General features: G+C 43.4%; 1 protein-coding gene across 4 annotated transcripts in view, besides 1 other annotated feature; it reads left to right on the forward strand.

The window, feature by feature from the left end:
- TBL1X (transducin beta like 1 X-linked) overlaps positions 1-27,467 on the forward strand; it is a 256,446-nt gene that overhangs the window by 167,385 nt on the left and 61,594 nt on the right. For 2 of the 4 annotated variants that reach the window (NM_001139466.1, NM_005647.4), the window contains exons 3-5: positions 9,594-9,681; positions 22,866-23,010; positions 23,536-23,643. In NM_001139466.1, coding sequence (NP_001132938.1) covers positions 22,908-23,010; positions 23,536-23,643 — 211 coding nt within the window. In that variant the 5' untranslated portion in view covers positions 9,594-9,681; positions 22,866-22,907. The remainder of the gene's footprint in view (positions 1-9,593; positions 9,682-22,865; positions 23,011-23,535; positions 23,644-27,467) is intronic. The other 2 variants (NM_001139468.1, NM_001139467.1) reach the window with 1 other exon arrangement.
- Positions 4,968-5,467: an enhancer, noted in NCBI's record as "H3K4me1 hESC enhancer chrX:9603687-9604186 (GRCh37/hg19 assembly coordinates)". NCBI's record gives its function as "activates a minimal SCP1, AML or CMV promoter by ChIP-STARR-seq in primed H9 embryonic stem cells {active_cell/tissue: H9 hESC(primed)}" and the evidence as "EXISTENCE:reporter gene assay evidence [ECO:0000049][PMID:30033119]".

The following is a 27,467-nucleotide window of genomic DNA, read 5'->3' on the forward strand; positions in this document are numbered from 1 at the left end:
ATCCTCCCACCTCAGCCTCCCAAGTAGCTGGGACTACAGGCGTGAGCTACCACGCCCAGCTAATTTTTGTATTTTTTGTAGAGACTGGGTTTCACAATGTTGTCCAGACTGGTCTCGAACTCCTGGCCTCAATCAGTCCTCTCGCCTTGGCCTCCCAAAGTGCCGGGATTAGAGGCGTGAGCCACCACACCTGGCCTTAAAAATATTTTCAATCCGTAGATGCAGAACTTGTGGATACAGAGGGCTGGCTGTTCATATTTTCAAAGACTATATATCAACAACATATAATCAATATATAACATATATGAGATATATGGATAATATATATATATATATTCAGTAACGATATACATGTATTCAAAGTAGTAGGTTTGTTATAGACAGCATAGAGAAGACTCTGGCTTTTTAAATCCAGTTTCACAATCTCGGCCTCTTATTTATTTTGCTTTGATTTTTATTTTATTTTTGAACTTTTTAGGTTCAGGGGTACATGTGCAGGTTTGTTACACAGGTAAACTCGTGTCATGGGGGGTTTGTTGTACAGATTATTTTGTCACCCCCAGTATTCAGCCTGGTACCCAATAGTTATCGTCTCTGTTCCTCTCCTTCCTCGCACTCTTCACCCGGCAGTAGCCCACAGTGTCTGCTGTTCGTGTCTCAGCCTTTTCGCTGGAGTGGTTATACCATTTACCACTTGCTCTTTGTTTTCTCTTTGTACCACTTACTCTGTGTTTCCTTTTTCCTCGGTTCCTGTGTGCTTTTGCATAAATTGCGGCTTTTTTGTGACTATACTTCACAGTAAGCTTATTAGCAATAACTCATTGCTTTATTTTTTAGGGTGTTGCTCTAGTGTTGACAATTTTCATGTTTAACCTTATCACAATCTATGTTTGAAAGATATTTTACTTCACATATAAGAGCCTTACAACAACAATGTGCTTTCATTCTCCTTCCATTCTTAGTGCTTTGTGCTACATTTGCCGTATGTTTTACTTTTATACATGTTACAAACACCATAATACGTTGTTATTAATTTTGTACTAAGAAGTCAATTATATGGAAAAGGATTCTTTTAAAGAGAAGAAAATATTTTTATGTTTATATTTACTATTTCTGCCACTTATCATTTCTTTGTGGGAATCCACATTTTCCATCCGAAGTTTTTCTTCCCCTTCATGGACTCCCTTCAGTCTGTCTTGTAATGCAGGTCTACAAGAAGTGAATTCTCTCTGCTTTTGTTTCTTTGGTAAAGTCTTTATTTTGCCATCATTCTTTGAAAGATATTTCATCTGAGTGTAGAGTTTTGCATTGATACATCCTCTCAGTTCTTTAAAGATTTCATTGTCTTCTGCCTTGCATAGCTTTTGACAAGAAATTTGCAGTTTTTACTATCATTTTTCCCCTGGATATAACTTTTGGGTTGTTTTCTGGCTGCTTTTAAGAGTTTGTCACTGATTTTCAAGAAATTGATTGTGTCTTGTTGGGGTTTTCTATGCTGTTTATCCTGCTTGGAGTTTGTTTAGGGTTTTGAATCTGTTTTACTTTCCTTAACTGAGAGTTTTACAACTTGATTTGATCTTGGAATCCTTAAAATGCGTTTTTGGTTTTTGTGGTTTTTTTGAGACAGTCTGGCTCTGTCACCCAGGCTGGAGTGCAGTGGCCGCGATCTTAGCTTACCGCAACCTCCGCCTCCCGAGTTCAAGCGATTCTCGTGCCTCAGCCTCCTGAGTAGCTGGGACTGCGGGCGCATGCCACAACACCCAGCTAACTTTTTTGTATTTTTAGTAGAGATGGGATTTCGCTATGTTCGCCAGGCTGGTCTCGGACTCCTGGCCTCAAGTAATCTCTCCACCTCGGCCTCCCAAAGTGCTGGGATTACAGGTGTGAGCCACTGCGCCCAGCCAAAATGTGTTTTAAGTAACATATTTTATCATCTCAGTACTAGTGTTTTATTAATGAACACTAAAACCAGTTAGAGAAACACTGATGAAAACCAGTGTTTATTATTTTTACATATTTTTATAACTCCATATTGGCTCCTTGGACCTTTTAGAGTTGGGTTACGAGAAAGCAATTGGGCATTTGCCTGGTATTATGTAGAGGGTATGCAAACACGGTTAGCTTGTGGAAAAGATATCAGTAACAATTGCCTGTGTAACCGCCAGCTTTATGGGAGTGCTCCAGTAGTAACATTTTTGCTTGTTTCAGCTATAAAAGCTATTACCACAATCTGTCTCTCTCATTTTGTACAGTAATGATCCATGAACATACTAAAGGGAAATTGATGGCATACCCAGGGTTACCATTTACAGATGGCAGTACTGAAATGTTAATTTCAAAAACATTCAAACTGTAGTTTTCTTCTGTAGACATGGGACAAGCAATTTTTATCATTTAATCATGCAGACTTGGTTTTAAAAGAAAACTCTTTTAAGATGTTCTTTGCTTTTAATTTATAGCCTTCTAGTTTGCTTATAACATATATGCTTATTTTTAAAGAACATTAAAGGTTAGGCCTAAGGAATTTGTGTGCAAAATTGGTCATTGATTATTAAGAAAATAATATAGAACCTTTTTTTATGTCATAAATACAACTTTAAAAGGAAGGGGACTCTTCAGAGTTGCCTCTGAGGAGCACATATGAAAAAGAAGGGCAGAGGTTTACTGCAGTGGTAAAAAATAATCCACCTAGATCAAGACTATTCCAAAAGTGAATTTAAAAAGAAAAAAAGATGAGATGGTAAGATATGAGGAAATAATGAATGCATTGTGACTTTCCACCTCCCCATACCCATTTTCATAGTTTGGTGAGTAGAAAGAGAAATGAGGATGCTGGCCCAATTTTGATTCCCAGTGGATGAGGCTCACACAGAACTGCCCTGCTTCTTGACACTATTATGATATTAAAAGTAACTTGTATTTTTATAAGTTATTACCATCTTGGCACACTTGCATTCATTTTAGTCAAGTACTGTCACCTTTAGATTTCAAGCTTGCAGAGTCTTAAAAAAATACACATTGGAGAACACATAGTCTTTTAACAGTAAAATCTCAGCTTATTAGAATGTTTAGTGACTGAGGTATTCAGAGTCAGTCAGAAAAGTATCTTTAGGATTTCAGCATGTGGAGATGTCTTTCATAGAGAAACCGGGGAGAGTCAGGCAAACCCTAGCACGTTGAGCATGGCGTATCCTCATCTGCACGGGCACTTAGACACCTGGACAAGTCCATTAGCAGTAAGGCAGGATAGAGGGGTTCACAGGATACGTGCTGCCCAGGATACGTACGTGCAGCCCAGAGCTGGGAGGAAATCATGAGGACCGACTAGACATTTATTGTACAGATGCATGACTGGCTGGTATGGCCTGGGATATGTCAGTGAAGATACACCGTGAGGTTGTGGGAGGTAGGATTCACAGTAAATCCTAAATTCTTCATCTTTGCACTCACGACGCACAATAGCTGATCAAAGCTTTTAGCAAACTGCAGCAAATGAAAAGGCGGCAGAACCTCATGGTGACAAATGCAAACCCTGGAGTCGGACTGCAAGCATTCACACCCCAGCTCCACCAGTCCCCAGCCCTAGGACCTAGACATGGAGCTGCATGTCAGTGTGTCCGTTCCCTCTGTGTGAGAACGGGATAGTAACAGCGCTCCCTCACACGCTCCTGTACACATGGAAACCACCACTGCCGTCGGACACAGTGTATGCTGTAGAAGCACTTATGGTACTAAGCACATTAAATATTTAAAATTATTAATTAGATTATTTAATCCAAGCTCAAAGCTCTCAGAACAGAGCCAGGCATGTAACAGGTACAATATACATGTTAGCTATTATTATTATTATTTAATAGAGATGGGGTCTTGCTATGTTGCCCAGACTGGTCCTGAACTCCTGGCCTCAAGTGATCTTCCCACCTCGGCCTCCCAAAGTGCTGCAATTACAGGCATGAGCCACTGCGCCCAGCCTATTATTTTTTAATAACTTTATGTAACCCGGTGTTGCCAATTGTTTTGAAGTGTGGAGCCGTTTTTCAGATGACACATACTAAACATCTACTAAACAGCCTGAGAAACGGCACTCTGAAGAGCATGCCTTGGCAAACACTCCCCTACTTACTCTAAAACTCCAGTCGATTGGCTTCCAAGTTCACTTGGTTCTCATTTTTCCTGGCAACAACTCTGCAAATTATTACCCCCATTTGATGAGGTGCTGGCTGAGAAGGCCCCTTGCCCAGGTATGTTTCCGACCTGCCTGTGACAAAGTGTTAGATTCTGAAAGCCGGGAGTGCTGGCCTCGGTTAGCTGAGTGATACCAGCGTGGGGTCTTTCGAGGCTGCAGGCAAGATGTCCGCCCACCTAAAGGCAGGATGGGGGCTGGAGGGGCCGTGTCCCGGCGCCTCCTTCCTGTGGCTGCTGAGTTGGTATGGCTGTAGGCAGGGGGCCTCAGTCAGTGTTGTACCGTGCTGGCCTCGCCACGAGCACCCGAAGGAATTTTATCATACAAATTTGATTCTGTTTTATCAAGAGATGCCAGTAGCACCTCCACTTCCAGTTGGGACACCCCAAAATATCTCCAGACATTGCCTAATATCCCCTGGGAGATGGCGGGGGGTGTGGGGAGGGGGCGGCAGCGGGCACTGTCTCCCCTGCTCCAGAACACTGTATTGAAATACAGAAACGTGATGCCAATCCCATGCTTTTATTTGGGATTAAATGTGTAATCCATATGCTTCTGAGTGGGAAAAAAAAAAACTTGGCTCCAAGCAGAAAATGGTGCATCCTTTGTTGTCATTGGGCAAATGCTTGGTAGGGATTTGATCTGTGTAGAGGAATGCTCAGTCTGCAGTGGCAGCCAGGTAGTGAGCATGTGCGGCCCTGCACACAGCATGAGCTTGTCAGACAGACAGTGCTTGCCAAGCAGGGCTCTGGCATGCGCTTGTTGTTGGCTATGGCTCTTCCATGGGCAGGCTCCCGGCTCCTCCTTGTGCATCCATCCCCTTTGTTGGCCACCCTGCCTGCTGGCCTTAGGCCTTCTGCTCCTTTCCCCAGGTCCTGGCTCTCTCCAGCTTGGCCTCCCTCCGCCCATCCTGTGCACCTTTCATTCCTGGGTAGGAGGAGACTCAGGTAAAGAAGGATAAAGGCAGAACGATGCCAGGCAATTCCACTGCTAGCCATTGCCCCAAGGACATGAATGTTCATAGCAGCATGGTTGACCCAAGCCAGGTTCCTGTCAGCTGCTGCCTGGAAAAACACAACGTGGTTCAGCCACGCAGTAGCATAGTATTCAGCCATAAAAGGAGTGAAGCCCTGGAACGTGCTACAACATGGATGCTCTGGGAAAACATGCTCAGTGAAAGAAGCCAGATGCAAGAGGTCACATATTGTATGATCTCATTTAGTGCCCCAAATAGGGAAATTCATAGAGCCAGAAAGCATTCTGTGGTCACCAGGCCTGGGGGAGGAGGGAATGGGAGTGACTGCTTAGTGGGCACCAGAACTCCTTTCCAAGTGATTGAAAATGGTTTGGAACTTGACATAGGTGGTGGTTGCATAACATCTGAACGTACCACTAAATTGTACACTTTAATTTGGCCAGGCTCAGTGGCTCACACCTGTAATCCCAGCACTTTGGAAGGCTGAGGCAGGAGCATCACTTGAAGCCAGGAGTTCAAGACCAGCCTGGGCAACATATCAAGACCTCCATCTCTATATTTAAAAAAAATAAGAATTTTTTTAAAAGAAAAATAATAAAATGGTTAATTTTATGTTGTTACTTTTATTCCAACTGAAAACAAAGCAAAACAACAACAACAACAACAACAACAACAACAACAACAACAACCATGTATGGTCCAGGGGAATGTCTATGTTGGGCCTGAGGTGTGCTGTTCTGGTTTTTCTTAGGTGAATGGGTTCTGAAGGCTGCATCAAAAGAGGAGTCTTTAAAGTTGCTAATTCTTTCCTGATAGGAAAAGAATATAATTTCTCAAAATGACTGCTTTCGAGGAATGCCCCTTTCTGAATTTGAAAACATAGTATTAAAAAGAAGAGTCTCTCAGTGCTTTAGATTATTATTTCTTGTATTCGATGTAAAAATCCCTTACAGTGGTTTTACAAGTCTGCAGAGGAATTCACAAAGCACGATTGAAAAGTGATGTACAGGATTTATAGTTGAATGGGAACAAACCAGCTGATCTGCATATAGGATGAAATTTAGCTGAGGGTGCTATTGAGTTTGGACAACATTTGGCTGGACCTTTGTAACTCTTCAGCTCTATGAAACAATAGTTGTGTGAAGAATTAAAAGGTGGAAAATGAACTGTAGGTGGCTGGCTCACATATGCCTAGGTCTATTTCCAGACACAGCGAACAGTGAAATGACAGTGTCGGTGAGGCACCAGTTCAAGGAAATACACAAAGACTGCCTACTCATAAATACAGACACAATGGGGTGATAACTGGTGCTTGCACTTGGAGATCTAGAATTCTAAAACATCGGAAAACAATAGCAGACCATTCTGTGTCCTTTTCTTTAAAACTATCTCTTGAAATTTTCGTGCTTCCCCCAAGAACATCCTCAAAGATGCCAGTAAAAATAACTCCACAGGAATCTTTCTGAATTCCAATATCCATGTGAAAAGGCTGCATTTTATTCTGATTTTTCACAATAGAATTAAGGCAGACATGATGAAGAAATGAATGTGTAGAGGACTTCCGAAATCTGTATTAACGTGTGTGATCAGCAACTGTAATGTTTTGATTGATTATATATGGTACATCTTTCATTCATTAAGCTAACTTTAATCAAGTATGTGTTATGTGTCAAGCCTGGACTGTAGAAATGAACTTGAAGAAGAAAGGACTCTTCCTCCTGTTCGGGTAGAAAAGGTATAATGCGTGTTATGGATGGTGTGACCGAAGGAAACACCGGATACCATGAGGAAAATTGAGATCATCACCCAGGGATTCTGTATTCTACTTAGGGAATAGGCTAAACATCAAAATACAGCAATTTGAGACAAAGGCAGGCGGTAGTCCCAGAAGGGTAGGTGTCAAATCCCCAAGAGCATCGGCGGATCCAGGTTCCTGTTGTGTTACTATCCTGCCTTCCTAAGGGTCAGACAGGCTCTCAAGCAACCCCCATGACCACAAGTTGTGCACATCCTTTCCCAGCTCCTCTCACCTACCATTGGCAAGAACTCAGTAGTGGAACACCTGGGGTCTCTTAATGAGGTGTGCTTGTGTGACTAAAAGAAAAAGAAATTTTGGGGGAGGAGCAGGCTGGTGGATGTGCAGTTTCTAAATTATCTTGTATTTTATTTGATTACAGTGTTTGAATTCAGTGTTTTGAAGAGATGTATGTAGCACTGCAAGCTCTATTCTAACCTACTTTCTTTGGAGAAGCAGGTACATGCTGTGTTGTGTCAGCTTAGAGAGCCCCTTCAAAACCTCTCCATGTTCAATGTGGAGGGACTGTCACTATACATGCATGGCACACCACACCAAGAACAGAGGGCTACCAGAAAATTAGAATCCCTTTTATATTTGTCACATATCAGCATTTATTTAGCTGTAAAAATAAACAGCATATGGCATTTGTTAAAATCGTTTGTATTTCACACAAATATTTGGCAATATGTAAACTTTCTTGCCAGGGCTGTTTATTGTGGTTCTATTTGCATACTAATAATGGGGAAATCAGTAATGACCAGGTGTTGGAAGGTCTGATTTCTCATTTAAATGTATTGTTTCTAGCAATAAACTAATTATTTTTGACATGTTTCATAACCAGAAGAATGTTATTAACCAAAGTCATAATTCCTATTTTTGTGTTGATCACACACAGATGATAAGTTAATTATACTTATTGAATTTAACAACATATATAAGAGATAATCTCAAATTTCAAGACTCTCATTTGTGGGTTACCATCTGTTTTGGACCAAAGAATAGGAATTTGATTGCAAGCTTTCTTCTGAACAGCTTGTAATAAGAGCTGTTTGTATATTAATTACTTATTGAATTATTGTGGATTTTAATGTTTTAATTTACAAGCAATTTGGAACTTATTGTGGTGACAGCTGCTCATATTTTGATACTTTATGGTATTTAGCAATTTCATCATAAGGCTATTTTTTCCCCTGGTAATTTATAACCCAATCCTGAAAACAGTAATTTGGTCTCTCCAGCTCACTATAAGGAGTATTGTCCTGTTTCATCCCCACTGCAGATTTTTTTCATAGTTAAAAGTATATTTTATAAGCAAAATCAAGATTCCTTTGTGCCTGCTTCCCTGGTGCCCTTTCATTTCTATTCAGAGTTACAGATGAATTTAGTTTCACTCTCATTATTTTACTTCAGTGGTAGATTTTTTACAAATTGCCCTGGTTATTACTTTCATCTTGAATATCCTTATGGTTTTTGTTTTCAATGTACTGTAATGCACTTTAGGGGCCTGTGAACCTGCTTGTAGGTTTTTTTTTAATCTCCTTCCTTTAAACAACATAACTATAAACATGACTCAGTGGGAATAATTTGCTTGAATTTCCTTAAAACACTTGAGTTTCTATATAAACTCCCTAATAAGAAACACCTTCACTCATAGCTTCACTTGTGGACTTCAATTATATTAAACCTGGTACCTTTTTATTATCACTGAAGACTATTAAATAAGAATTTAGAGAAAATGGTGGACATTTAATTTCCTTAGTTCTTGAATTCGTAGATGATAGAGGATAATTGATACTCTCTAGGAGGCAGGAATCATTCACAACCAAAGAAATTTTATAAGGTAAATATCATTAGGTAAATGGTTTACTGATTAGTGTTTATAGTGACTGAGAAATAAAAACAATTTTTGATATAAAGGATTATCATTTTATGAGCCATAAACCTGGCTTCCTCATAAATCAGTGCAAATGGAACACTTGTGAAACAGAAATGTCTGAAGAGTAAATGAAAAGTTGAGACGTTAGTGGGTGCCTTTGGTTTTCTTGATTTTAGAGGAGCCGGAGGAGAAAGGATTCTGACCCGTTTGTGTGTTTTTATGAGCACAGTACATGAGGATGCATATATGCACACAAATGTGCCTGGTAGAGTTATTGGAAAGCTAGCCCAAGCGATGGGGAATGTTTAGCTAAAGCGTGTTGTCTTCTCCCGAGGGTGTGCACAGGTTCATGTATCAGCTGAATAAGGCCCTGTTCCAAAAACTGATATTTCAAGGGAACCTTAATTTATCTTTAAATTTAATGTAATTTAAAATTAATTTAAATCTTTAAATTATCTTTAAATAATAGCAGTAGCAATAGCTGAGCTAACATTAATTTTATCTATTTTGAGACTCTTTTATTTCAGAACTTCTACATGCATAATGCCTGACCGGCCACTTTTAATTTCTCCTTTCTTTCACTTTGCAAACAAAACCTTACAATCTGTGCTATGGACTAAGACAGAAATTAAGAACCAATAAAATGTGTTAAGTTTTAATTAGGAAGAAGAAAAAACCTAAAGGAACGGGATGGTTGAGAGGTAAACACACCCCAATGATTTTTAAGTCTTTTGTTTCAAACCTTTCCCTTTCTCCCTAGGCTGGTCCCTGCAGACGGCTTCCCATTTTTATGACCGGATGCTGGGAAGCCTGCTGGTCCACAGGTCCATACATGAAGTCACCATAAGGTAAGCAGCCCAGCATGCCATTGGATCCTTGCCCTTGTACCTGAAATCCGTTTGAGGAGCAGAACTGCATTTTCCCAAAATGGAACCCCTTCTGTTTTAAATGATGTTGTCAGGGGAAGTGCCCGGTCTTTCTCCTTACTGAAGGTTGAAGGTAGTAGACAGACAATCATTAAATCATTGCGAGCTGCATAGTCAATTCCAAATGAGAAATTTGCCTTTTTACTGACTTCTGAGAATTTTGGGTTGTGTTTTTGTTTTGTTTTGTTTTGTTTTTGTTTGTTTGTTTTGAGACAGAGTCTTTGCTCTGTCACCCAGGCTGGAGTGCAGTGGTGCAATCTCGGCTCACTGCAACCCCCGCCTCCCAGGTTCAAGCGATTCTCCTGCCTCAGCCTCTCAAGTAGCTGGGATTACAGGCACCTGCCACCACACCTGGCTAATTTTTAAAATAGTTTCAGTAGAGACAGGGTTTCACCATGTTGTCCAGGCTGGTCTCGAACTGAGCTCAAGTGATCCGCCCACCTTGGCTTCCCAAAGTGCTGGGATTACAAGTGTGAGCCATTGCATCTGGCCTGCCTTCTGAGAATTTTGGATCCTGAAGGAGCTATAACAAATTTTTCTGGGTCTTACCAGGCGAGGATGACACCTTCTAAAATCAACCTCTCTTGTCAACATTATCAATTACAATTATGCAGACAAGTTAATTATAATTGGGTGCATGAGTATAGATTTTATTTGGCTCCTATATCTTAATTCTATGCTTTATCAGTTTCTTAATATGATTTGTGTCTGTCTCCAAATTGATTTGCTAGTTAACTTTGAAACTTATTAGAAAATCATGGAGATTACTATGTGTAAATCTGGTGAGATGCTAAGGTTTCCTGACTAGCACACCAAACAATTGTATGTGCACAGGTGTCAAGAGTTGAGAAGCCCGTAGCCCAAACTAAAACTGAGACCCATGCCCCAAAAGTTCTGTAAAAGTTATCTTACTACCTTTCGGTACGTGTGATTTTAATTTCACTTTACTTAATTGTTATTTAATTTTCTGTTTCTTTCTCTAATGCCTTTTTAGTTAAAAAAACAAACAAACAAACCTGTAGAACTTGGGCAGTTTTAAAGTGTAAAGATAGAATTTTGAGGAAGCTTTTTGATTTACTATTTTAAGAGAACCAACTAGAACTAAAATGATAGACTTAAATTTAATTAAAATAAGCAGCTTACTGTTTGAGGTACTTTTGTTTAAAGCCAGACATATGCATATGTAGGTTGTTTTAACAAGTTAAATATGTATAAGTATTTTAATGAAAGGTGTAGTCTGTTTATAAAAACAAAATTTGTAATGTATTAGTGAATTTGAATTTTCTGACTGGCTTTTTCACTCAGTATAATGTTTTCAAGGTTCGTGTGCATTGTGGCATGTGTCATTTCTTTTTATGTCAGAATATTCCATTGTGTGGCTAGACCATGGATAGAACATATTTGATTCATGCATCAGTTGATGGAAATTGGAGTTGTATTTCCCTTTTGGTTATTATTAAAAATGATGTCATGAACACACATATACAAGTTTTTTTGTGTGGACATATGTTTCATTTCTCTGTGGCATTTACTTAGGAGTGGGTCATATGGTACCTCTGTTGAACATTTTGAGGAACTGAATTTTTCCAAAGTGGCTGTTACACCAGTCAATATTTTTCGAAATGCCATTGAACCATATTTTAAATGTCAGAGGGAAGCAGGGAGGGGATCTTTCTCTTATCAATGTTTTGAGTGGGTATTAGTTCAGTACTTTGGGAACATAAGCTTCAATTTCATTGAATCCAGCACACATTGGATTTCTCCTCTGCGTGAGGTATCTGTGTTTGGCTTTATACCTCAGTCATTTATACATGACTGAGTGTTTTTGTAGCCTTTGATAACTTGTATGGTTTATACATGCAGATAGTCATTTGGCATTATCCTCAAAAATGGTACTCTATTGCTGTAGTTCATTAGTAAGGTTGGGAATAACCTACATAACATACTCTTTCTGCCTATGCTGCGTGCTGCGTCTCAGAAAGTGAGGGCTTCTAACGGTTTCCTTGAGGTGTGTGTGGTTTCAACACATGTCCTCCTTTCAAAGGCATCCATCGCAGACCCTGGTGATAGTGTTTTTTGTATCTCAGTCTTAAAGGGGTTGGTATGGTTATGAGGAATGTTCACATTCAGGGGCGTTCACTGTTGAAGTTCTCAGGCAGGAAGATTCCAAGCCGAGAAGGGACTAGGCAGTCCGTTCTCGGATGTAGAGGTGGGAAAATCTGTGGTAGAGCAGGAAGGACTGAGAGCAGGCTCAGCAAGCATGTTCTGTGATGGGCCCGATAGTTAGGGGCTTAGGCTTCGCGGGCCAGGCGGTCTGTGCGGCAGCTGCTGTACTCTGCCATTGCAGTGTGAAAGCAGTGTAGGCCCTACAGAAATGTATGAACATGGCTGAGTGCCAAGAAAACCCTATTTATAGACACTGATACTGGGTTGCAGTTTGCTGACCCTAACCTAGAGGAACACAACTGTTTTCTTTCCACCTTTTCTAATTGTGGCCTTTTGAGTTGGAGGCCACCTGGAGGTGAGGCTCCGAGAGGCCCACCCAAGGGCCATGATGTGATGAAGACAGACTCTAAATTGTGATTACGTAGCGAAGGCACTGCAGATATTTGGGGGTCAGGACTTTTACGTAAGGAATTTGAGGGCCTTTCTGCCACATAAGAGGGAGTGGCTCTGGGCCTGTGTAACTGCCCTAACTTGGGTTCTCACCCTGGGGGAGTCTCCACCCCCAAGATAACCTGGGAATGTGTGGAGACATGTCTGGTTGTCACCACTGGGGGAGTGGGTGCTACTGGCATCTAGTGGGTAGAGGCCCGGGATGCTGTCAAATGTCCCGCAGTTCACAGGACATCCTCCCCAACCCCTAAATGTCAAACGTGAGGAGATTGAGGAGTCCTGCTCACCGCTGCTTCTGTCAGCCCTTTATTTTGTACTTGTTGTCAGTCATATGGCTGTGGAATTATAGGCTATGGGGCATTAAATTACAAAATTTAGTACCTGTGTTTGCTGACATAAGTGTAAGGATGGTTGGACTCTGATCTAATATTTGGGTTCATGATGCTTTTAGTTTTTTCCTTTTTTAAAAACGTCTTTGTCATTCATTTAAATATAAGCCTCCAAAATTGATATAGGCCAGGCACGGTGGCTCACACTTTGTACTCCCTGCACTTTAGAAGGCCAAAGCAGGAGGATCACTTGAGGCCGGAAGTTTGAGACCATCCTGGGCAACATAGTGACACCCCCATCTTTACAAAAAAAGTAAAAACATAATAATTAGCCAGAGGTGGTAACACATACCTGTAGTCCCAACTGCTCAAGAGGTTGAGGCAGGAGAATCACTTGGGCCTGGGAGGTTGAGCCTTCAGCAGGCTATGATTGCACCACTGCACTCCAGCCTGGGCAACACAGTGAGACCCTGTCACTAAAACAAAACAAAATGCTGATATAACACTAAGATTTATATGAGATCCAGGCCACATTGGGGGATGGGGCACCGCCTGCCTTTCGAACTGTAGGGTACGCTTCAGAGTTTATTTTTCACAACTTCACAGGCCACATCATATGTGTAGGTGAACCCACTGCTGACTCCATCTACTGCCAGAAAGAGACTCATCATGGTCAAATTAAATTCTTCATATGTCAGTGAAAAATCAGTGTCTTAGAGATATCATGACCAGAGTGCATGTATTCCTGAAATTTGTTTGAAGGCCCGGTGCACATTGTGTAGAAACTGTGTTCAGTCTATCTAAAAGATAATTAAAATCCATAAATTAATTTCTGGCTGGAAAATAGGTCATAATGGATCTGGATATCAGAAGTGCTAGGTTAAAGACCACGGTCATCAGGAAAATAGGATGAGCTCCTGCTCCGTGGAAGCAGTAGCATCAGTGCCTTCCAAGGCAGTCTGCTCTGAAATCTTGGGCACGTGCATCTGTGTTGAACTGTGGCCAGAGGAGGAGAGGATGAAAGGGAGGCAGTGCTCTTTTTCTTACATGCATTGTCCGGCTCATGTGATGTGGGTTTCCCTGGTAGTGGCTTGCTCTTGCTAGGTGGAGCATTTTCAAGAGGGCTTCCTTCCTGTCACCATAGCATCTGCCGTTGACGTGCATGTGGGCTTTGGATGAAAGCCCCAGCCAGCCACTAATTAACCCAGAAGGGTGGCAGGGCACAGAAAGGACCTTTTCTGAATGCCTCATCATGGGGATTTTTTCTTTTCTTTTCTTTTTTTTTTTTTTTAGATGGAGGCTCGCTCTGTCATCCTGGCTGCAGTGCAGTGGCACAATCTTGGGTCGCTGCAACCTCCATTTCCCAGGTTCAAGTGATTCTCCTGCTTCAGCCTCCTGAGTAGCTGGGATTACAGGCGTGCGCCACAACGCCCAGTTAATTTTTTTGTATTTTTAGTAGACATGGGGTTTTGCTATGTTGGCCAGTCTGGTCTCAAACTCCTGGCCTCAAGTAATCAGCCCGCCTCAGCCTCCCAAAGTGCTGGGATTAACAGGCGTGAGCCACCATGTCCCGTCAGGGATGATTTTATTCTGTGAAAAGCGGCATTCCTTTTCTAACACAAAACCTCTCCTCTGCTCTGCCCTCCCAACCCTGTAGCCTCATTTCCTATATAGTTGTTTTCATACTGATTATCTCTGAAGACATTGCCAGGTCGTTTTTGTTTGTTTTGAGACAAGGTCTTGCTCTGTTACCCAGGCTGGAGTACAGTGGCACGATGTCGGCTCACTGCAGCCTCCACCTCCCAGGGTCAAGCGATTGTCGTGCCTCAGACTCCCAAATAGCTGGGAATACAGGGGCATGCCTCCACACCTAGCTAATTTTTGTATTTTTTGTAGAGATGGGTTTCACTGTGTTGCCCAGGCTGGTCTCAAACTCCTGGACTCAAGTGAGCGACCACGCCCAGCCGACATTCCCAGGTTTTCTTTACGTTTTAATAAATATGAGTAGTCCATGTTCAGAGTAGAAACTATACAACGTGTAGAAAGATACACATGCAATTGGGAGCCGTGCTTTTCCCACACAGTCCCCTGTCATGGACATTGCCCCTGCCTGAAATGCTGTTTTCCTGGCCGCATCTTATGCCACTAGTTTATTCCATATTTAAATGGAGGCGTCACTGCTCGGCATTGGAACTCTAGTAACGAAGAAATAATTCTTTGATTATATTTACCATTTCAGACCATTGACTCCAAGTAAATAAATATAACCGTAAAACTAATGGGAAATTTTTTACTTTGCGGGGAATATTTTCGTACTGAAAGTATTGTATATCTGATTGTGGGTAAATGGAGAGAAGTGTATGAAAGAAAGCAAGCAACATAAAATATTTTTATGCATTTCTCCCCAAACTTTTCCTCTGTATGTGTTTTCCTACAGGTTTGGGTCAAACTGTAACCTTGTTGGCCCTCTTTTCTGTTTTGTTGTCGCCCCCTGCCACCCAATTTGGGACATATCATAAATATCTTTCCATTAACCTAGCTTTGAAATTTTTAACTTGCACTGGAAGACCACAGCGTTTAATGTCAAACAACGTAACTTTAAATCCTAGCTTCGCTGGGATTTAAGTTGGTTATCTTCCCTAAGCCTTTATTTGTTAAACCTATAAAATGGTAATAAGAGTAATGGTCATATTTATCTCTTGGAGTTATGACTGGTGAGATCGATCGTATCGTGCACATAGCACTCACACCTGATAGCTAGCATACAATCCATGCCGTGTATTGGTTTCTAAAATCATCTTCATGGCGGCCTGATAGTTCCCATATGTGTTCACTGCAATTTATTTCATCGTGCTGTCACTGGACAATGAGATTGTTTCGAGAACCACACATTGTCTTCTTTACAATTACATAGGATGAAAAGATGTGCAAAGTGGTAAAACAAGCCTGTGTCAGCCCCCAAATAAGCTGCTCCCCAGGCAGATGTTAGAAAAGGTGTATTGGGATTTATATGTAAACTTTATACATACATTTAAAATTCTGTCTTAAGCTGGTTACTGATTGTGAAATGAAAATAAACTCAGTTTACATCTGAGCAGAGAAAAGAGCCGCTGCCTCCAAATGGGCAGAGTTTGCTCGTTTCCATGAAGCAACTTGGAGAAAGAGGTGCCCTTTAGAGGCTGAGGTCAGTTCAAGCAGATCTTCCAGTGACCCTGGCTCGGTCCAGTCTGCATGGAGACAAGCCCCAAAGACCTGAGCCTTGTCCAGGCCATCCCTCCAAGCAATGGATTCTTCCAGCACAGACGCCAACAGCCTGACTAATAGCAGCCTAACTAATGACACTCACTTTCTCAGGTGCCTTCAGAAACCAAGGGCTGCTTTAGAAGATCTTTAAGATGTTTACATAACAGGGCAAATGGCTGAAAGATAAAGCTTCCCCTCCAGTGATGTCAGAGGAGCTCTGTGCGCTGCCCTTCCTACAATACACGCCCCCTTCATCAGCTCGTGCTTCCTTCGCTGTTTCAGAACACGGCTGGCCTCTTGGCAAGAAACGAACTTGCCCTTTCTGTCCTTAACTACCAGCACCAGCTCTCCAGCAGGCCCCATGTGATTCTACTTTTTAAGATAATTAAAACAGCAATTAAGATTTTGTTTGGGGCCAGTGTTCTCCCACAGAATGATGGCATATTGAGTGCTCTAACTACATACTCAATGAAATGAAACTCTTAAACAGCCATTTCTCCTGGGACCGAATGCTGAACTGTTTTGTGAAGGGAACTGCGAATTAATAGGACTTTTGGCCACCTTGAAACCAAGGCTTAAAAAAAAATACTATAAATAATCTCCCCTTCAGCTTCTTGACGGCTCTAAACCCCAAATTATCACTTATATTGAATTACTTATCTTTAGCAGAGAAACTTCAAAAATGCCATCAGCCCATGCTCGTTTGTTCTTCTTTGCCTTCTTTAAGCAGCACAGTGAGAGAATGTTGTGGCTTTAACCCAAAGTGGAAGGTGGTTATTTCGTTTTTGCGCAATCACAACTCCAAACACCTCAAATCAACCTAATTGAAGGTGTCTTTAATCAAAGCTGGGTCAGGCAAGAAAATAAACACAGTTGCTCTAATTAAGACTCCCCTCTCATCCCCCTCCTGTTTGGGGCCAAGGAGGAGCTGTGAGTGCTGCCAAAACTCTCCTTTATTTTAGAACTGGAGAAATTGGAAAACATCCACAGGAGTTCTCAGAACTCGAAGGCTGGAAGCGGATGCTGTTCGGGAAACCGGTTAGGTGTTAGAATGCGGCTTGTGTCTCCAGCTGTACATACTAGAAAAGAATGCCCAAACACAGGCCTCTGGTGGTAGTTCTTTTTGGTTGGGCTTTATGTGTGCCACCTTGCCTGCTTGACATTGCTGATGAGCCAGGACGAGGAGTCGAGCCCTGAGTGGTCATGGGCGAGGCAGGTGTGTGTTTCCCTGATCCTCTCCTACTGACCTTTCAGGTCTCTCTTGGGGAATTGCTGGAGGAGCTAAAATACCAGCTCCCACATACTGGATATTTTCTGTGCATCGGGCTCTGCATAAAAGCATTGACTCCTCACACTCTCCCCTTTACATAGGGGCTATTTGATACTCAGTTTAGAGATAAGGAAACAGCCATATAACTGACCCTCCAATCCCAGGGCTAGATAGTGGTGCAGCTGCCCCTAGAAGTCAGGGTCTCTGGCGCTTGGCCAAAGGCTCCCTGAATCCCACATCTTTACCTGTTCTCTGTGGCTCTCAGGACGTGAGCTACCTTATCTCTAGCCAATAAGCCTATACGGATGGGGACTCTCACCCTGATTTACCCTAACTTTATTGTAATAAAGTCATAACTGTCATAAGAAGTAATAGTTGCAATAAAAAGTAGTAATTGTAATAAAGCATGAACATTCCAAACTCCATGTTATTTGTCCACAAAAATAGTTCTTGGCACAGAAGACAAAGGCGGACTTTTTCCCACAGAATACATAGCTGTCGATGGCACTTTGCTTTGAACCTTGGTGTAGAGGGCAGTCCTCATGCCCTGGGCTGAGGGGTGCATGTGACACATCATTAAAAGTCAAAAATCATTTTCATAGAGCAGGTCCTCCCCACATGTACACCCAGAGCTCCTGTGCTTCTCTCCTCTTTCTCTGACTTCTTCCAAAATCGTGGGTCTTGTCTCCATCAGTCAAGAATTTAACTTTTCTTCCAAAACATCCCCCTCCTCTTCTGTGAAGGAAGGTGCTTGTGGACTGGCCTTAGGAAATGTCGCCCAGACAGGAACGGCACACCAGTGTGCCATCACTCAAGCCAGAAATGAGGTTTGCAGTGACCTTCTCTGTGCTTGAGAGTTCTGCTACACTACGAATACCACTATAATAACAGCACATTTATTTGTGGGAAATTAAACAGCAAAGCCCTGGGTGGGAGATCCATAATTTACCATCTTCCTGTGAAATTTAGTTCTGGTCTTAGAAAAAAGAGGAGGAGGAGGAATTTTTATTCCCAGCCTTGTGTGTGGTGAGGTTTGTCTGGAACAGTGGTTCTTGCAGAGGAATACTGGCCAGGAGACTCACTTGAGTCAAAAAACTGAAGAAGATCCATGAAAACAACCACCACCTTCAAGTGAGCCACTTAGAGATAAGCGCAGCTAAACGCCGGGACACCCAGCTGATGGATGGTTTCTCTTGATTTTGGTGTGATGAAGCCCACAGAGCTGAAGGGCATTAAATACAGCTGTTAGGGTTAGGAGTCCATTCAGAGAATATTCTCATGCTTGTATCTAATAATCTAAGAATATATATGTAGATTCTACAATTTTTGGAATTAGGTTTTAAAAGAAAAATAATCATTTAAAAGCTAGCAAAGTAAGTGTTTGTTGGGGGAGAAAAGTTTGATCCAAATATTAAATCAGTCTTAAAAAATTAAAATATGTACTTGAGATGGAGCAGTCAGTCTTACCAAACATTACATCCTGGCTCGATTGCAGGCCATGGATAGTTTTTGTTTTGTTTTCTCTTCTGCTTAGAAATCAAAACCCTTTAGAAAGTTAACAATGTATTGGGGAAAGCATTCCAATCCTTGGACCCTAACTTATACATTTAAAAACAATGAATCTGTGATCAGAAAGCAGAAAGCCAGAGCTGAAGCAGAAGTTTTTCTAGTTGGAAGAAAGAAAGATGTATAATGCAAATTAGAGGAACAGATAATTAAAAATGGCCCGTAATCCCCATCTCCTCAGGATCTTATATTCTCATTCTCCATAGTTCTATATAAACACATGCAGAGACACCTGTATTTATCACAGATGCTCCTGGGGTGGGGAATATTAACCAGGCTGTGTATACAGGTGTTTCATCTCCACGAATCAGAGTATCTGCTCTTATTTTGAGGCAAGATCTCACTCTGTCACCCAAGATCTCACTCCACTCACTGGAGTGCAGTGGCATAATCATGGCTCACTGCAGCCTCAGCCTCCTGGGCTCAAGCAAACCTCTTGCCTTAGCCTCCTGAGTAGCTAAGACCACAGGCATGTGCTACCATACTTTGCTAATTTTTAAAATTTTTTTGTAGAGAGGGCATCTCCCTATGTTGCCAAGGCTGGCCTCTAACTCCTAAGCTGAAGCAATCCTCCCATCTCAGCCTCTTAGAGTGCTGGGATTACAGGCATGAGCCATTGCGCCCAGCTGGTACCTTTTCAGTGGTCAGGTCACCAAGCAGCGTCTGAGCCTGCACCAGTTGCCTTACTTTATAAATGGAGTTCATTTCAAACACAAAATGCTTATTTTCCCTCTAAAGAGCAATGGTTCTCGGCCAGCTGCAGTTTTGCAATGTGGGACATTTGGCAATGTGTGCAGGCATTTTTGGTTGTCACCACTGCAAGGAGGTTGGGGGAGTCCAAGGATGCTGCAGAACATCGTGCTGTGCCTGGAACAGGCTTGCTTTTTTTTTTCCCCCAGAGTAAAAGAGGAAAGGAGCTAGGCATGGCAAACAAGAAGGGCAGCTGGGAAGCTGGGGTGTTTGCCAGGTCCTGCCAGACATAGTTTCCTCTCTGTGCCTCAGTTTCCTCATCTGTAACATGCAGAGATGAGATGCCCTCCAAGATTGGTCCTTTCCAGCTGCCCTCACTGGGAGGGGGCACCGTGCCCTGCCTCCCAGGCTGACTCGTCCTTTGTAATTCTCTTCCTTTCCACGGGACTCCAGATTCATGCCGGTCCCACTAGCCCTGTTGCCCTGTTCCTAAGCCTGTCCAGAAATCCTTGGGACTAAGTGAGGCTGAAGCTATAGCGCTCTGCTCTTCCTACCTTTTTAAGAGGTCTTACATTGTAAAACTTCAATTTTTCAAACACTCACTGGCTCACAGAAGAAAATAAAATAAAAAGCTGCAATTGTGAAAATGTAATTGCTCAACTTTAGCTCATGCTCCAGATCAGTGATTTTCTCTTTTAGCCAAACTTCTTTATAATTATTTCCTTTATTTTTATAATAGATTCTTCAAAATTAATTTCAAAATTCCTTATCTACCGTCTTTCACAAATGTATGTATAGCCTAGAGAATTTTGGTAATAATTTTGTGATACATTTATATTGGGATTTGTAGCTGCCAGCCTTTTTTTTTTTTTTTTTTTTTTTTTTTTTTTTTTTGAGAAAGGGTCTCACTTCCGTTGCCCAGGCTGGAGTGCAGTGGTGATCGCGGCTCACTGCAGCCTCGACTTCCCAGGCTCAGATGATTCTCCCACCTCAGTCTCCTGAGTAGCTGGGACTACAGGCGTGCACCACCACACTCAGCTAGTTTTTTCGTTTGTTTGTTTTGTTTTGTTTTTGTAGAGACAGAGTTTTGCTGTGTTGCCCAGGCAGGTCTCAAACTCCTGGGCTCAAGCGATCCGCCTGCCTCGGCCTCCCAAATTGCTGGGATGATAGGTGTGTGCCACTGTGCCCGGCCCAAGCCATTTTTTCAGTCCATTCTTTTTGCTCCTCCTAGTAACCCTTCGTAGCAACCAGCCTTCCATTGTTCAGTCACCAGAAGTTAATGATAGAAAACCAGAGATTTCTAGCTGTGCAAGATGTAGAGAGAAACCTAAACTCTATACATTTGCTATTGGCACTGTGTTGCCATAGTCACTGCAGCACTCAGCATCACCAAAAGCCTGCCCAGTGCTGCAACATTCTTTAGATAGATTTTTGTTGTTTTATTTTGTCTCCTTAAATAATATTTAATTTTTCATTAGGTCATGCTATGATTTCATAGCTTATTTTGTCTCTAATATTTTCTTCTGCATGCTGTCTTTTGAGAGACCTCTCCAGAGTTCAAGCACAAATCCTAGGACAGACTTGTATTTTGACTGTCAAATTTTCATTGCAGTATGTGCAAAAGTACAGAAATGTCATCAAATTAAGCAAAGAAGATAAGAATTTTTGAATGGCAGTGTTCTGGCAACTATAAAATAAAGTCTATTAAGAGTGCAAAGTGAGAGGTGGAATGTCGCCAGGGCAGCTGCATTCATTATCTCTTGCTGGATAACAGACGACCACACGTTTAGCAGCTTGAAACAACACACATTCATTCTCTCACCGTGGCTGCGGGTCACGGGTCCAGGCACAGCACAGCTGGGGCCAGTGCTCAGCGTCCCACAAGGCTTGGTCCGGGTGTCAGCCAGGCTGCGCTCTCCTTTAAGCTCAGGGGTTTTCTTCCAAGCACAGGTTGTTGGTAGAATTCAGTTCCTGTGGCTGCAGGACTGAGACCCTCAGCTCCCTGCAGGCTGCCTGCCATTGCCTGGACAGATCATGCAATGTGGTGTTAATAATCACAGGAGAGAAATGTGGTCAACCTTGCCATGTAATGTAACCTAACCTAGGGAGTGGTGCCCCATCTCCTTGACGCATTCTGGAAGCAAGTGACAGATCTTGCCCATACTCAAGGGTCGGGAGTATACCAGGGCAGGACTTTGTGGGGGTAAGGTATGTCCCTGGCAGTAACCATTACTTTGAATCCTCCCATTAAATGTAAAATATCTTCCAACTTGAACATATACTTTGTACTTTTCTCCCCCTAAACAAACAAAAACTCAATCCTCATTCAACAATGAAAGTTTTGCTGCCTGTAAAGATACTTGCAAATGTGTGATATAGACACCAAAGACAGTTCCCAAACAGCCTAAAGATGTTTAGTGCTGGCCGGGCGTGGCGGCTCACGCCTGAAATCCCACCACTTTGGAAGTCTGAGGCAGGTGGATCGCTTGAGTTCAGAAGCTGAACACCAGCCTGGGTAAAACCTTGTCTCTACAAAAAGAACCAAAAAATTAGCTGGGCGTGCTGATGCCCACCTTTGGTCACAGCTACCCGGGAGGCTGAGGTGAGAGGATTGCTTGAGCCCGGGAGGTGGAGGTTGCAGTAAGCCCAGATCATGCCACTGCTCTCCAGCCTGGGCAACACTGCAAGACTCTGTCTCAAAAAAAAAAAAAAAAGAAAGAAAGAAAAAAAGAGGCCAGGTGTGGTGGCTCACGCCCGTAATCCCAGCACTTTGGGAGGCTGAGGCGGGTGGGTCACGAGGTCAGGAGATCGAGACCATCCTGGCCAACATGGTGAAACCCCGTCTCTACAAAAAATACAAAAATTAGCCGGGCGTATTGGCGGGCGCCTGTAGTCCCAGCTACTCGGGAGGCTGAGGCAGGAGAATCCCTTGAACCCAGGAGGCGGAGGATGCAGTGAGCTGAGATCGCACCACTGCACTCCGGCCTGGCAACAGAGCGAGACTCCGTCTCAAAAGAAAAAAGATGTTTAGTGTTGGTGACATCATTGACGTTAGTTGCAGCCTTTCTGGGGCTGCCCAGCTGTTTGGAGTGAGCAGCTCTTACTGATGTATGAATTCTGGTTTGTTCATGGACAACAGAGTTCTTTCCTTGCTTGTTCCCTTTGGGCTGGTTTGCTCTTGTGTCTAACCGGGTGGTGTCTAAGAAAACCAGACTCTGTCTTGGCTGTCTCACACAGAAGCCCCTGAACGTTTTCCTGCCCATCCTCCCTCCCCAGATTTCTGCCTGCCTTCTGGGCACCAGAAGTCTTAGCCAGACGGATGCAGCGGATTCTGTGGTGAAACACAAATGACAGAGGTGCTCCCTGCCTTCTGTGTTCTGGTTTTCCACCAGGAGCCCTGGCCTCCTTGCAGAAACATCGAGGTGACATGTAGCATGACCGAGCTCGCTGGCGCCTCTTCATCGTGCTGCCACCGCCCTGCAGGAAGAGGGGCCATGCAGTCAGTCTTGCACCACTTTCAACGTTTGCGAGGGAGAGGTACTGCGGTTCCTCATGTGGCCAGGACCGTGTGGTCACTCTTTGGGGGTGTTGACATGGCCGCGGGTGTACTCGGTCACCTCTCCATGTGTCCAGAAAAGTGCTCAGTGTTGAATCCCTCCACGTCTGCCTGAGTGCACTTTGGGATTCCATTCCTGCCGCTTATGGGGCGCGCTGCGGATCCCTGCATGCACAGAGCTTTATTGAACGCAAAGTCAGTTGTTTGTTGTCGTGCTCTGTTGCCCCTGCTTCTGGCTTCATTCATGTGGTTTTTGCTCAATTCTTCCCCGGCCTTAGGAAATAGGCCAACTCTTGTTTTTTTGGAAAACATTTCACCTGGGCATATTTTTCTATCTATAATTACGGAATTTTTATGTAATCACATAATTATAAAATATAACACAATCAGATATTAATTACCTTCATGTGTATAATAGCATGGATATTATTTTCTTTAGTCATCTCAAAAAAAAAAAAGAGAAAAATACAAGCAGTGTTTCAAAACTCTCTTCTCTTTTTGAACAGAGGGTGGTTCCCACTTCATCAACACCTCATCGCCGCGAGGTGAGGCTAAGATGAGCATAACCAGTGACGAGGTGAACTTTCTGGTGTATCGGTATCTCCAGGAGTCAGGTAAGAGGCTTGGTTTTCTGTCGGTAGGAAATTCATCTACAGCATCTTACAAGCAGAAGGATCAACGCTTAATTCAAAACCAGGCTGTAGAAGAAGAAGAAGAAGAGCTAAGAAGGTTCTTAGTGCTGATGGGGAGAAGAGAAGGTTCTGGAGCTGTGCCATCCCCGGGTGGAAAGAGGGAATGTGTTCTTTCTTCCCTTGACACTTCTGTGCAGATGAATCAGGCAGGAATCAAGAGCGGTTGTGGTGAATGTGGAAAGGACGGAAGCAGTGCGGGGCTCTTGGCCTCCACCTCGGCGAGGGCATGCATGAGCTGGTGTGTGTGTTTGAACCTCTTCGATTTTGCTCCAGAGATTTATTCAGCTCCCCAGCCTCCCCTACTCCCCGCCCCCTAAATGGGCTGCTAGGCAATTTTCTAAAACTTAGGAATCGTCGTAGCATCTTCCAACATTTTTGATTACCACTGAGACATTACTTTATGGTTAGTAAGTAAACAGCCAATCACATGTGTTCGTTGTTGACAAGACAGACTTTGAGCTGAGCAGCTGCCCTCCTCCGCCAGCAGGGAAGTAGTGGGAAGAAGCCACGGAGCCCAGGGCTTGGGTTCTAACTTAGAAGATATGTAATTTAAGACCTACAAAATGATATTGGTGAAAAACGTCCTGATACCCACCTACCTGTTCAACTTAAACAAACCTCTCAGGTGCATTGGAAACCCCGCCCATGTTTGCCTCCCCGCCTTCCTCGATGATGATGACCCTGGTGGACTTGCTGTTTGTTATCTCCACGTGTTTATTACACACAGCCGTTTTCCTAAGCGACATACGGTGCAGGTGGATTCGTTTCCTAGGGCTGCTATAATGACGTACCGCAAACTGGGGTGGCTTAAAAAGAAATATGTTGTCTCCTAGTTCCTGAGGACAGAAGTCCAAGATGAAGGTGTAGGCGGGTCGGTTCCTTCTGAGGGGAAGTCTCTCCTGTGCCCCTGCCTGGCTCCTGGGGCCTTGCTGCAGTCTTTGAACTCCTTGGCTCGTAGGCACATCACCCTCATCTCTGTGTTCAGATTTGTCCACATTTCCCCACGGTAAAGACAGATTGGATTCGGAATTTACCCTCCTCCAAGACAATCTCATTTTAACTATTGTTTTTGAATACAGCAATAATTACATCTGCAGTGACCCTGTTTCTAAATAGTGTCACATTCTGAGGTGCGCTGTTGGTGAACACTGCAACCTGTGAATTTGTGGAGGAGGGGGCACACTTCAACTCATAACAGTCGGTTTGGGATTTTAAGTTGGGTTTTAAGCTTCGTGCCCTTGATATCAGATTGTATATATTCTGGAACTTGATTATTTGAAAAGGAAACCCCAGTTCCTAGGCCCCGTCCTCCCAGAGATGCATGTATTCGATTGGAGGGAAAACCAGTCTACGATCCTCTAGGCTTGAGTTCTCTCACAGCTGGCCTGGTAGGGTAGACTGTACGCATTGGAGCCACACAGAATGGCTCGAGCTCTGATCCTCGAACAAGTCTGAGTGAGGCCTGTTCATTTGAGCCTGGGTTTCCTTGCCCAGGCAAATGTGCTCAAATACGTCAGGCACGTAGCACATTGTAAGTGCGTGCCTTCCCCATCCAAGCCTGGGTCTCTGTCCCTTGCGCTCCCAGCTAGTGTTATTCATGGAAAGTACACATTCTTTTCTGCATATATATTAGATGCCTGTGATTGGCTGTTGCCAGAACATAGTATAGGAAGTTGGTATACAAAACAAAATATGTACTGCCTCACTCTGGAAATCAGGGAAATGATAACCGCTCTGCTAATACCTCAACCTCGGCTCTTAGAGGAGCACAGGTGATCTCCTGCCTCAGAGCCCATAGCTTTCCAGAGGTGCCTGCAAATGGAAATCCATGTACCAAACCCTGCTTCCCTGTCGACTTGTGGCATGGAATTTGAGATTCTTTCCATTTAGCAACACCTCTGCACAAGGACACGATGAAGGCCAAAGAGACTCACAGCTCTTGTGTAAACAAGTCCCAGGCTGGAACTGTCCGGTGTGAAGGACCACGTGCTCCGGTAACCTGGAGACAGAGCCATGCTGCTGGCTGGTCCCCAGGGGGCCACGGAGCATGAGCTTTGCTGGCTTCTTGAAATAAACACAGAAACCCCCATCCCTCCCCAGAAAGGTCGGCTTCCTTATTCAGTGTTTGTTTATGAAGCTTCTGTAACCAGGCAGCTGAGAGGGAGAGTTGGAGCACAACAATGCATAGACCTTGGCAAATGTCAACTTTGTGTAACATCTGTGAGCTCCATTCCTGATTCATCAGTGTCACTGAAGTATAATAACACTTCTTAGGCAGAGTTGATATTGAAGAGAGAGACTATTACACCTTCTTCAGCTCACTGTGTGTATTGTGGAACTTTTTAGAGCACCCTACAAGGTTGTATTCAAAGGAAGAAGGGAGCAAAGAAATACTTAATGTTGAAATGTTCATTCTGGGGTTATTTTCTATGTTCGTCTCAAGTCCTAAAGTTTTGGTTAGGTCAATAGTCATTGAGCCCCCATCAAGAAAGCACACCTTCTCAGCCTATCGCTGTCTCCCTTCTACCTTAAATAAAAAGGAAAACATTTCCCTGATCATGCTTCCTCCTCAAGCACCTGTACTCTTACTCCTGCACCCCACCAAACTCATTAAAAACAGGTTCTGCATCTCAGAAGATGATTCATTCCTCAGCTCCCTCCACTCTGGCTTTCTCCACTAGAAGTTGTCAGTAAATTCTGGGTTCCCAGATCCACTGATCTTACTGCAACTGGCATTCCTCCTTCCCTGGTCATCCCTCCTTACCTGTGTGTGGCAGGAAGCGGGTGGGGGTGGGCAGTGAGGCAGGGAGTAGGTGTTTCCCTGCAGTGCGGCAGGACAGCTGCTTCCCTGGAAGGTCTGCTGGAACACTCAACCCCACCTTCCAGGTACAGTGACGGACAAGTTTTCCAGAGTCACCAAGCATGTGGCCTGAGCCCTGCTTCTCTGCCCTGGACCCAGCAGACCAGGTTGCCGCTCCTGTCCATCCATTCATCTCCTTCACCAGTGCCTCTCTTCCTCCCCTCTGCCAGTATCCATGGTGTCAGTTAGGATGTATTAGGCTGCAAGGAGGAATCTTCAGTGGAGCACTGATGGCCTCAGACAGCCGGGAAGCAGGGTGTTGAAGAAGGATCCAAGACACATCTCTTCAAACTCGGAAAAGAACCTCAAAAACAGATGTGTTTTGTTCTCTGCCCACAACAGGCAGAAGTCAGGTCATCTGGCTTTTAGCAAACCACATATATTTCCCTACCTGTGTGGATTAGTGGATTTTCATTGTTGCCCTTGTTACTTGTCCAAAGCAAGGGCTTTGCCCATCAGAAGCACTCAATAGCTGTTACCCACAGGCGACATCTCATAGCAGCAGACTCATGGCAGTCTGAAAGAGGAAACTGGTTAAAGCAAGAATGTTAAGTAGTAGGGAACTTTTGCATTACCAAGCTCTAGTGCCAAAATGGATTTGTTGGTTTTTGCATGAGTTCAGCAGTCTGGCTTTGACGAGTGATATGGTTTGGCCATATCTCATCTTGAATTGTAGCTCCCGTAATTCCCACATGTCATGGGGAGGGACCCAGTGGGAAGTAAATGAATCATGGGAGCAGGTTTTCCCGTGCTGTTCTCGTGAAAAGTGAATAGGTCTCACGAGACCTGATGGTTGTATAAAGGGGAGTTCCCTTGCACACCTTCTCTTTCCTGCAGCCATGTAAGATGTGACTTTGTTCCTCATTCACCTTCTGCCATGATTGTG

The sequence above is a fragment of the Homo sapiens genome, chromosome X (genome assembly GCF_000001405.40).
Source record: "Homo sapiens chromosome X, GRCh38.p14 Primary Assembly".
Lineage (NCBI taxonomy): Eukaryota > Metazoa > Chordata > Mammalia > Primates > Hominidae > Homo > Homo sapiens.